This window comes from Homo sapiens, chromosome 2 (genome assembly GCF_000001405.40).
Source record: "Homo sapiens chromosome 2, GRCh38.p14 Primary Assembly".
NCBI lineage: Eukaryota > Metazoa > Chordata > Mammalia > Primates > Hominidae > Homo > Homo sapiens.
This window is the reverse complement of record NC_000002.12, coordinates 91,705,660-91,718,275: the sequence shown is the minus strand read 5'-3', so window position 1 is coordinate 91,718,275 and position 12,616 is coordinate 91,705,660. Positions and strand designations below refer to the sequence as shown.

The window sequence follows — 12,616 nt, the reverse complement described above, 5'->3', positions numbered from 1 at the left end:
CACCTTAATTTTATATATATATATTTAAATTACATAAAATAAATAAGCCACTAAAAATTTTTAAACATTTTCTTATATTTCCTTTCAGTATTTTTATGTGCATGCATCTGTACTTGGTAATATTGCTGAATGCATGTTTGCATTGACAAAGCCTCTCCCCTTGCCCAAACTCTAGTTGGGATCCTCTAAGCCACCTCTCAGCCTCAGCTTTCAGTGTTCATCCTAGTCTGGCCCACATCTCTCAGGTTTAGGAAGAAACTTGCAAAGAATCCCCCACTCTCAGTACTGATCACCTTTGATATCTGATCAAATTTGTTATCTCCCACCACCCTCCAGATGATTTCTGATCAGTCTGGCCTGCCTTCAGTAAGAATCCTGTTCGATCTGTTTAACCCAAATCCCCTTTGCCCCTGATATTTCCTCTTAGTATCCCCAGTTGAGCCAATTTTCAACCATTAAAAAAATCTTGGACAAAATTAAGTTCAGATAGGTTCCAGAGTGCTTATGTTCAGTTCTTGGCTTTCTGAAGACCTGGCATATCCTCTTTAAATTGCCTCAATACAAGAAAATACAAAATGGAAAGAAGTAGACATTAGAAATTGGAAAAATGGAGAAATACAGGAATGAACATAAGTTTCTATTTCAAGTAATTAGGTAAATTGTAAGATGTTTATATTTAACTTTTTCTCATTAGCTTTAGCCCCTTGAATCTTTGAGAACATGTTATTACTATAGTTATCGAATGTTATATTTTTTATTTTAACGTAGAATGGTATTTTCACTCAAATCTCTTGAAACATATATTTATAGTCAATAGTTAAATTTTATTTAATATCAATTGTTCCTTTTTATTAGTATTTTCTTAAAAAAATAATATTGGCCCAGCGCAGTGGTTCACACCTGTAATCCCAGCACTTTGGGAGGCTAACGTGGGCAGATCACTTGAGGTCGGGAGTTGGAGACCAGCCTGAGCAACTTGGAGACAACCTTTCTCTACTAAAAATACAAAAATTAGCCGGGCGTGGTGGTGCATGCCTGTAATCCCAGCTACTCAGGAGGCTTGAGGCAAGAGAATTGCTTGAACCTGGGAGGTAGAGGTTGCAGTGAGCCGAGATCGCACCACTGCACTCTAGCCTGGGTGACAGAGCAAGACTCCATCTCAAAAAAAAAGAAAGAAAGAAGATGCCAGACATTTATTGAAGGGCTGGAATGGTATAGTGAAGTGTTCTGAGTCAGTTGGGCTCTGATTGATAAAGAACTTGGCATGTTTGAAGGACAGCAAGGAAGCCAGAATAGCTGGAGCATAGCAGCAGGGAGACAAGTGCCACAAGATGAGCTGGAGAAAGGCACTGGGAAAGGTTTGTCTTTTAAGTGCTCTGAGAAGCAATTGAAGATTTGAAATAGAATAGTGACTTGCTTGATCACATTTGTACTTTTGAAAAGTTCCTCTGGCTGCTGTGGGGAAAGGCTTGAGTAGATGCAGGGTGGGAGAAGCATAACCAGCAGTAGACTCTTGTAGCAGGTTAGGTGAGAGATGGTGGTGGCCACGAGTGGGCTGCTAGTGGTGGAAGTGACAAGAAGCAGAAGGATCGGAGACAAAACTTGAAGATAAAAAGTCTTGAATTTGCTGATGATTTGCATTGACGAGGTGTTGGGGGAGAGGACTGAAGGAGCAGAGGAGAGTGACAAGGGACTGGATGCCATTTATAAGGATGGGGAAGACTGGGATGAAACCGGTTAAGGGAGAAATTTTAAACATGGCAAAATTAAGAGGGGTTTTATGTGAGAAAATGGAAATGCTAAGAAGGAAGTTGAAAATCCTGCTAATTTGGAGATCTTTGATTAAAACTAGAAATAAGAATGTGGGAAGCATCAACTTCCAAGATGCCCTCATTGTAGATAACACCATTTAGGATCTAGGCTCAAGCCCTGGGAAACTCCAGGGCTTTGGAAGTCAAATAGAGGAAGAACACGTACAGGAGATGAAGAAAGATTAGCGAGGAAGTCAGTGAAATATCCACAGGTGGGCTGCTGCCAAATCCAGCAGAACAGTATGCCAGATGTTAGGAGCATGAGTAAAATGAGAAAAGAGAAATGGCTTTTGACAACACTTCCCTACTAATAGTAGGGAAGAAGACATAGGTACAGATTCAAGTTGATTTGAAATTATGAAAGTGAGGTAATTGACCTGCAGTGGTTGCTGCTCAGTGAAATCAGCATAGTGATTACCTGAGCTAGGTTAGAGATTTGATGGGTAAGAAAGAACACCTGAGGGTAATCCTGGAGGGGAAAAAAATAAAGTGTTTGCTGGAGAGAATGAGTTGGATTGCTGGACTTCAATGTGTGTGGGTTGAATTTGTGACTTAAAAATGAAACCAGTCTATTGCTTGTGTGGCTTTTCCAAAATACTGTTATTCCATTACCTATCTCTTACCCCAAGAGTAGTCACATTCTTATTTCTGGTTATTTTAATTCCTGGTGGTATTTTTATGTGATTAATGAGATAGTACTTGTTAATTTGATGATATTCTAGAAACCTGGTAAGTACTATGTACCTTGTCTTAAGTTTTGGTTACTTGATTGGTAAAATTATGCATGCACCATTGAATTACCTAATTCAAAATATATCCTTTTATTGTTTGACATTTGTCTTGTTTTTCTTTAAAATGTTATCTTTGTGGAGTAAACATTTTTCTTTATGCTGTTTAGCATCTTCAGATTAGTTCAGGGTATTGCTGAATGTGGTTGTTTGGAAGTAAAATGCTTTAGTTTTAGTTATATAGATTTTAATAAGATACTACTTTCTATATAATTTATCAGGTACTTTAGGCATTTTATTTGCAAATTTAGGACAATTTGCTTTAACGTTTCTTCACTTTTGTCCGTTGGATGTAATTTCCATAAAGTATTCATTTCCCTGAGTAAAAACCGAAACCAAACCGACAACTAATGGTCACTGAAGAAAGAGTGATTAAATGCTAAGATTATAATGGTATTTGCATTTTAATGTTACCAGCTCTCTACAGTGTAAAGTTTATGCATTTATCTATTGCTTATGTTTCTCATTGCATTCTTTGGCCTACTGGTTTTGGTTGTTTATAGCTATAGAATATAGAATTCCTTATGCTTATCCATTTCTCCTTTTAAGTAGAGTGATAGTTGTTAGAAGAAAAATAACGCCCCAATACTTTCTTCTAGTGTTAATTCTTAAAGTGTGATTTACTTTTATTTACTTTTTGGTGCAGTAATTGCAGTTCATGAGTCAATGTTGATGTCATATAAACCTTAATTTTTAATGTTTCATTGTAGTGATGTCTCTGTAGCAGCAAACATTTAAGTTATTTGTTATACTTAAATGTTTAAGTCACTGTTAGTGATTAGCTTATTTTGCCTTCCTTGAAGCAATTTGTCCTAAATTTCCATATGTTTGCATTTGTTTTTGCTGTTCTAAAATTCCTTAGTTGCTGGCTTTGACCTTTTATGTTGCTGAGTTTTACACATCTATTTTCTCAACTGCCATATCCTAGGAGGCTTGGAGTACCCATAATACAGTGAGCCCACCTTCCTGGTCCCCAGACATTTCAGGAGGTCGGGAAATTTTTAAACCCAGGCAGCTTCCTGGCAGTGCCATTTGGAGCATCAAAATGGTAAATAAAATTGCATTTACGTTCATATATCATTTCTGTCTGATTTGTTTTGCCCTACTGGGTGTAAAGAATTAAATCTTTCTTTTCTAGATTGAGCTTCCAGAAACACTTTTTAAATCTAAAAATTTTAATGTAAAGAAATAATATGCTTGCATTTAAAAATCAAGTATACATTTTTAATACCTCTTTTTATGGTTAATTCCTTTTGTTGTGATTACTACCGGTTTTATGAGGGAGAAGTCCTTGACATGTAGACCAAAAGGTAATTAAGGACCTTTTCATTCATGATATCATAAAACTTTGTTGCTTAGAAAAAAGCAAAAGAAAAAACTCCATTAATTTATTATGTTCTTATGGAGAAGAAATACCAAAATTGTGGCAGATTTCATTGTCTGTTTAATACCTTAAAATGACAAGGCTTTTTCCCCCATGACATTGGTTGATGGCTGTGCCAGTCCTTGAAGTGAGTTAAGTAGTGTGATGCATTTTGAAGAGAAAAAAATTAATTTGAAAAAGTATTAACTCAAAAGTTAAAATACTTCATTGACTGGAGATGAAAGTTTTTCTTCATATTCTATATTTAATATTCTGGAATATGGCTGTTTAATTCAGACTAATCAAGGATTTTAAGGAATTCTAGATTATACTTTATTTTCTTTCATGACTGGAAGAACTATTTTTTTTTAACCTCCCTACCTCCCCCTGATATCATCCAAGATATTGAGGTATAAATATACCTCATTTGACAATTTGATAATATAGACCACCAATTTTTACTTACCTTTTTTCTGGGTCAGCATTTCATGTTTGAGAAAATAAATTGAGAGATTACTGTAGTCTTGATTTTTAATCACTGACTTAATTTTTCAAAAATCTTTTATACCAATTTAATAACAAAACAAACTCGGCCGGGCGCAGTGGCTCACGCCTGTAATCCCAGCACTTTGGGAGGCTGAGGGGGCATATCACTGGAGGTCAGGAGTTCGAGGCCAACCTGGCCAAAGTGGTGAAACCCCGTCTCTACTAAAAATACAAAGAGATTTAGCCGTGCGTGGTGGCATGTGCCTGTAATCCCAGCTGCTAGGGAGGCTGAGGCAGGAGAATTGCTTGAACCCAGGAGATGGAGGTTGCAGTGAGCCAAGATCACATCATTGCACTCCAGCCTGGGCAAAGAAGCGAGCCTCCATCTCAAAAACAAACAAACAAACAAAAAACCCAAAAAACTAACCTGACCCCATCTATCTGTTGTGCAAAGAAGCTGATGCACTTCTCAAAAGGGATCTCAAGGAGAGCAGGGTAAGAGAAGACAGGAGTGGCAGTTTGAAACTGGGAGCTGGCTGTATTTATTACATCCAAAGGGAAAAAAGCCATTCCTCCCATTCCTTTTGTTCATGTGTTTCTATTTTATGCTTACAGTATCATCATAAATTTTTGACTTGGAAACCATTCTGCTAAATAGGGAATAAGTTTATTTCAAACTATGATAAGGGACATCAGTTGAAGATATGACATATTATTTAACTTATGGTGAGAGAAACACCTAAGTATTTTCCTGAGCATCTGGATAATTTTAAATATACATAATTCATCTACTTAGGTAGGTGCCAGGTTTTTTCAAGGAGTAATTAATTAGTACGAACAAGGGTGAGGGGGCAGGGAACACCATACTCTGGTACTTAATGTCTGAAATTATCAGGGAATTTAACACATTTTCCCATAGGTTTATTTCTTGTGTAAGAAGTCAGATAAATTATTTCCATTTCAAGTATTTATTATTCAGATTATTTAAAGCAAAGCTTTCACAAAGCCTTTTGTCAGCTTTCCTGTAATCCTCAAATAATTTTTCCTGGCTGGACGCTTTGGCTTACTCCTGTAATCCTGGCACTTTGGGAGGCAGAAGCAGGAGGATCACTTGAGCCCAAGAGTTCTAGGCTGCAGTGAGCTGTGATCACACCACTGCACTCCAACCTGAGTGACGGATCAAGTTCTTGTCTCAAAAATAAAAGTAATAACAATAATAATAAATTTTCCTCTAAATACAATGGTGAATGAGGTAGAAATGTTGAGTTCATAAGAGAACTGTTGAATAGTGAAGGAAACTGACTTAATTTTAATGACAGGAAGAATACTGTTACACACTAGCAAAAATGAACTTTTATGCTGATGTAGCAGTACAGAATATGCTTCCAACCCAGGGACGCTGGAGCCAGGCTTGCTAGCTAAGCGACCTTGGACAAGTTACTTAACCATTTTATTCCTCAGCACACTCATCTCAAACGAGGATAATAAAACCTACTATATGGGATTGTTGAGAGTAAAAAATACTTAGATTAGTACATAGTAAGTACTCAATAGATGTTAGCTATTACTGTAATCACCGCGAGACCAGTTAATGAGAGAGTTCTTCCTTATCCTTACTCTATATTGAATACAATTTGTTGCACTTCGAAATATCTGGATAAGGCTATAGTTGTTGTCGTCACCGAGAATGCAGGAGTGGCAAAGAGAAAAATCATGCAAAGGCTTGCTGATAGCGTTCACAGTGACAGCCCGAAAGTATGATTCTAAGGTTGTAAGCATTTTATATTTAGAATTTTAAGTTGTGGAATATACTTTTAAAGATAAAAATAATACCAGGTTTCTTAATACTTATCTAAAGAAGTGTTTGTATAACATTTAATAAAATGTTTTATCTCAGTGGCATTTGGATTTAAAAATTATTTTGGGCTGTCACAGAATGTTGACTTTTCCTAATCTGTTACATAGGGCCATGGGTCTGGATTTCCAGGAAAGCGGAGACCTCGAGGTGCAGGACTGTCGGGGCGAGGTGGCCGAGGCAGGTCAAAGCTGAAAAGTGGAATCGGAGCTGTTGTATTGCCTGGGGTGAGGCTTGCTTCATGTATATTTTCTCTAATCTAAATGTCAGTTAATGATGAAAATCTCATAGCAAGTTATTTTGAACTTAAAAGTTATATAAATAGGTCAAAATGTTTATTTTACTGTCCTACTTTGCTTTTTTTTTTTTTTTTGAGCCTCTGGTTACGTTTTCTTGTATATTTACTTTCTTATCCTTTCTCTTTTCTTACCTTCCTCTTTGACTCCTTATCTTTCTATGCCAACCCTCTCTAAAAAGTCAGTATGTAATATAGGTGCTCTTTTATTTAAAAAATTTTAAGATTGATATTTGCTTACTATCATGTTATGAGGCTTTATTTATATGTGTATTACAAATATATTTGTTAACTACTAGCAAATATTTTATGTAATAACTTCGCTATTTTATTAAAATCCTGTTTTTAAAATTCTGAAATGTCATTTTAAGTATAGGAGACAGGTGAAATTGTTCAAGTTTACTACTAAACCAGGAATAAGGAAGCTTAGATTCTTGTCCTTTTTTCAAAAAGAAAAATTTTAAAACCAGGCTTATTGAGGTATAGTTGATATAAGCTATATTTGACATGTACAATTCCATAAGCTTTGATATATACATATACACCCTTGAAAACGATACCACAATCATGATAGTGAATATATTCATCTCCCAACGTTTCTTCATGTCCCTCTGTAATTTTCTGCATTCCCCCTGCCATCCGTCCTTGTCCCCAAGATTAGTTTGCATTTTCTAGAGTTGTATATAAGTGGAATCATACAGAACTGTGTGCTTTTTGGACTGATTTATTTCAGCACAATTATTTGGAGATTAATCTATGCTGTTGTACTTGTTAACAGTGTACTTCCTTTTCTTGCTGAGTATTAATAAAACTGTGGATGCACCACGGTTGTAGACCTGTGCACTTTTTTTTCTTCTTTTTTTTTTTTTTTTTCTGAGACAGGTTCTCATTCTAATTCCTGGCTGGAGTGCAGTGGTGCGATCATAGCTAACTCCAGCTTTGACCTCCCACCTCTGTCTCCCAAGTAGCTGGGACCATAGCTGTGTGCCAACACACCCAACTACTTTTTTAAAATTTTTAATAGAGACAGCATCTCACTATGTTGTCCAGGCTGGTCTCGAACTTCTGAGCTCAAGCAATTTTCCCACCTTGGCTTCCCAAAATGCTGGGATTACAGGCGTGAGTCACCATGCCCCAGCCTGTAGTCTTACATTCTTGTAATGTCTTCATCTGGTTTTGGTATCAGCATAACTCCAGCTTCATAGAATGAATCAGAAAGTATATTCTCATCTTCAGTTTTCTGGAAAAGTTGTGTAGTAGTGGAAATGTATCTTCTTATATTATACATGAATTTATTAGTGAAACCATCTTGGCCTGAAATTTTCTTTGTGGGGGGCTTTTGTTGTGTTTTCTTTTTTTTTTTTTTTTCTTTCTTTTGAGATGGAGTTTTGCTCTTGTTGCCTAGGCTGGAGTGCAATGGCACAATCTCAGCTCATGCAACCACTGCCTCCCAGGTTCAAGTGATTCCCCTGCCTCAGCCCCCTGGGTAGCTGGGATTACATGTGCCTGCCACCATGCCTGGCTAATTTTTTTTTTTTTTGTATTTTTAGTAGAGACAGTTTTTCACCATGTTGGCCAGGCTGGTCTCGAACTCCTGACCTCATGTGATCCACCTGCCTTGGCCTCCCAAAGTGTTGGGATTACAGGCGTGAGCCACCATGCCCAGGCTGGAGTGCAGTGGCGTGATCTCTGCTCACTACAGCCTCCACCTCCCAGGTTCAAGCAATTCTCCTGCCTCAGCCTTCTGAGTAGCTGGGATTACTGGCATGTACCAACATGCCTAGCTAATTTTTGTGTTTTGGGTAGAGATGGAGTTTCGCCATGTTGGCTAGGCTGGTCTCGAACTCCTGACCTCAGGTGATCCATCTCCCAAAGTGCTAGGATTATGGGATGAGCCACTGGTGCCCAGCCTGTGGGACAGTTTTTAACAACAAATTTTATTTCTTTAATAGGTACCTATTTAGGTTATCTGTCTCTCCTTGCATAAATTTGCACCTTTCAAGAAATTTGTTCATTTTGTCTATCTTGACAAATTAAAGGAATGGAGTTGATCATAATGTTTCTTATTATTTTAATACCTGTAGAATCTGTAGTGATTTCACCTTCCTCATTCTTGATACTAATAATTTGTATCTTGTCTTATTTTTTTCCTGATCAGTCTGGCTAGAGATTTATCAATCTTATTGATCTTCTTGAGTCAGCCTTTGTTTTCATGGACTTTTCTCTATTTTCTTTCCCCTTTCTGTTTTATTGATTTATATTCTCATCTTTATTTTTTCCTATCTTCTCACTTTGAGTTTAGTTTGATCTTCTTTTTTTGTTTACTCTTACGTGTCCCTGCTTGGAAGGGACACTTGTGAAGTTTAGGTCAGAGCTTTCTATTCTCCTTGGCTTATATCTGTGGTCTAGGAAAATGAAATTTCTATCACCTTCTGGATAAATCACACTATTATCTATGCAGGCAACAATAGCACATATTTTCTCAAAGATTACCTTTGCCCTCAAGTTAGGTTTTATTTTTCTAGCAGTCTAAAGGTCATGAAATAAATTATAAAATAAAAACAGTGGGTCTTCAAGCTAGATGATACTGTTTTTTTTCTTGCATGGACAATTATTTTAAAATATTTTGGTTTTTCTGCACTTATTATTTAAATATGACTCCCCACCCCCACTTGAATCTAGGGACATTGTAGTTTTCTACTGCAGACTTTGTTTCTGGTTTATACTGGGAATATATTGTTTATCATTTTCAGTGAAAGCATCCACTGGTTAAATTTCCTTTTAAAAATAATAATGGATCTTTACAATTTCTTTGAGCTGCTCAGTGTGTATAATGTGTTGAATTTTCTGTTAGTGGTTGGGAGGTAGAAATAGATACTTTATCTCTATTTTAGCCATTTCCATAATTATATATCTCAATAGCCTTGTCAATGCATCATTAGTCCTATGACTGAATTAATGATTACTTTTAGTAGTCACTTAGTTTCTTACTGGTGATGATGATTCTACTTTTGTGAATCATCTTGGATGATTCTCTAAAATCTTAGAAAGCTAATTTTGTTAATGCTATGCATATAACACATCAATACATTTTCTCTATTAAAAAAATTAAAGCGTTATAGGTAGATCAGAATTTACCATTACTAACTCCTCAGTCCTCCTTATTTCCCTGTTACCAGTTTGGTATATTTATATATTAGGTTGATCCATATGAAATTGCCAATATTATTTCTGAACTGATGAAAAGCAGCAATTTCTTATGATTCAACCTATTATATGTGCCCATAGACTACATATAATGACTTTGCATGTTTTTATATTATAGTGCTATACCTCAAATACTGTTCTGCAATTTATTTTTTCATCAATAACGTCTTTTGATAATTTCTTTCATGGCAGTCTATACAAGTTTCTACCTCCCTACTTTTAAAATGTTGCATAATTTTCTAATGTTTGGATTTGTCATGGCTTTACTTACTCCCTAATGATGAATATTGGCATTATTAACACTTGTAGTCATTAGGGTTCATATGACTATAAATTGCTCTTATAAAGCATTAGTACTATCCATTAAAACTGCTTTTAGGCTGGGCACGGTGGCTCATGCCTGTAATCCCAGCACTTCGGGAGGCCGAGGTGGGTGGATCGTGAGGTCTGGAGATCGAGACCATCCTGGCTAACATGGTGAAACCCCATCTCTACTAAAAATACAAAAAATTAGCTGGGCATGGTGGCAGGCGCCTGTAGTCCCAGCTACTCGGGAGGCTGAGGCAGGAGAATGCCGTGAAGACAGAGCTTGCAGTGAGCTGAGATTGTGCCACTGCACTCCAGCCTGGGTGACATAGCAAGACTCCATCTCAAAAACAAACAAACAAAAAAACAAACCAAAAAAAACTGCTTTTAAATGTATTTGTATTGAAAAATACTGAGATATAGTCCTTCTATTTAGTTAACCAACCAACCTTCCTTCCTTCCTCTTTTTTTTTTTTTTTTTTTTTTTTGAGACAGGGTCTCCCTCTGTCACCCAGGCTGGAGTGCAGTGGTGTAATCTTGGCTCACTGTAACCTCTGCCTCCTGGGTTCAAGTGATTCTCCTGCCTCAGCCTCCTGAGTAGCTGAGACTACAGGCGTGTGCCACCACGCTCGGCTGTTTTTTGTATTTTTGGTAGAGACAGGATTTCACCATGTTGCCCAGGCTGGTCTCGAACTCCTGAGCTCAAGCGATCCACACACTTTAGCCTCTCAAAGTGCTAAGATTATAGGCATGAGCCACCACACCCAGCTGGTTAATCTTTCAGTTGTTCCTCAAGAAAAGTAATTCAGTCGTTTTATGTTTTGACCTTGAACATAACCTGTTGTGTTTCAACTCTGTCTTTCCAGGCTTCGGTTGTAAGCTTTTTAAAGAAAGAGGATTGTATTTTATGATTTTGGCAGTGCCCTCCTTGTCTTCTTCTACAACTTCTAGTTCAGAGCTTTATTTTGTTTCATATCACTCTAGAAATTATTAACAAACCAGTGGCTACTTAGTTGATTTAGTCAAATAGAACTAAGTCCAGACTGAACAATATTGGTTGATAATCATTTGGCTGATACTGAAATTTGGATGTTATTCAAAATAATATTCTAAAGCGGTGCTAATAGAAATATAATGAGAACCACATATGCAATTTAAAACTTCCTAGTAGCCACATTAAAAAGTTACAGTGAGTTGGGTGCAGTGGATCATTTGAGGTCAGGAGTTAAGAGACCAGCCTGACCAATATGGTGAAACCCTGTCTCTACTAAAAATACAGAAATTAGCTGGGCATGGTGGTGGACAACTGTAATCCCAGCTACTTGGGAGGCTGAGTCAGGGAGAACAGCTTGAACCAGGAGGCAGAGGTTGCAACGAGCCGAGATCGCGCCATTACACTCCAGCCTGGTCAACAAGAGTGAAACTCCTCTCGAAACAAAATAAAGGTTATAGTGAACAGGCGAAATTAATTTTAATGCCTTCCATTTTGACCGATATATCTAAAATATTACCATTTCAACATGTAATATGTAATTATGTGCTGTATTTTATGTTTGCAGGACATCTCAGTTCAGACTAACTACATTGCAGATCCCAAGTGTGTGTCATTAAAATAGTGATAGATTTGTGTGTGTACATACCTATAATATTATCATTTATAGTTTCTTGATTAGAATTCTGCATAATCAAGTCTTACTAAGACAGCTTTATTATATTTTCTCATTACTTCTTGGTCTAAAGGAATTCTACCTCTAAAGAGAGAATGAGTTGAATAATAAAATGTCATGACTCCATTTTGCTGTAGTATCTTAGCATTAATATTTGGAATTGTTATTCTAGACCTTAGCAAAAATATATGTTTTGATTATGAATTTTCTGAAGCTTTCCAGTTAAGTGTAAAACAAGTGAAAAATATAACTTCGTATTTTGTGTATTTTGCTTTTTATAGGTGTCTACTGCAGATATTTCATCAAATAAGGATGATGAAGAAAACTCTGTGCTCGATATGGTTGTGTTGTTTTCTAGCAGTGACAAGTTCACTTTGAATCAGGTTTGAACTTGACAATTTACTGTCTTCCTCATTGAATTCCTCCTTGCACATTTCTGCTTTATCTCATATACACAGAAGTGATCCAATATTTAGCTATAGAGCTATATTAGTTAAGAAGGTATTTTTAAAGTAAAATTTGTAGGTTTTTAGCTTAGTCTCCATTTAAAATATGTTCTGTTTTCTTAACTTCAGGATATATGTGTAGTTTGTGGCAGTTTTGGCCAAGGAGCAGAAGGAAGATTACTTGCCTGTTCTCAGTGTGGTCAGTGTTACCATCCATACTGTGTCAGTATTAAGGTAAACATCCTTAAACTGAGTTAACAAATATGTATTGAATTTTTATTTGGTTTTAGTAGTAACATGAGCTCCCAGTTCTCACAATTAAGTATTATGATTATTAAACATATGTGACCGTATTTAAGTACTTTAAATACTGCTTTTAAGGGTTTCCTATC

General features: G+C 36.6%; 1 pseudogene across 1 annotated transcript in view; it reads left to right on the top strand.

Moving 5' to 3' along the window:
* Positions 1–6,165: 6,165 nt before the first annotated feature.
* Positions 6,166–12,616, top strand: part of KMT2CP5 (lysine methyltransferase 2C pseudogene 5) — a 26,009-nt pseudogene continuing 19,558 nt past the window's right edge. The window contains exons 1-4 of the transcript NR_171627.1: positions 6,166–6,216; positions 6,414–6,530; positions 12,060–12,161; positions 12,354–12,458. The product of NR_171627.1 is annotated as a lysine methyltransferase 2C pseudogene 5 (transcript). The remainder of the gene's footprint in view (positions 6,217–6,413; positions 6,531–12,059; positions 12,162–12,353; positions 12,459–12,616) is intronic.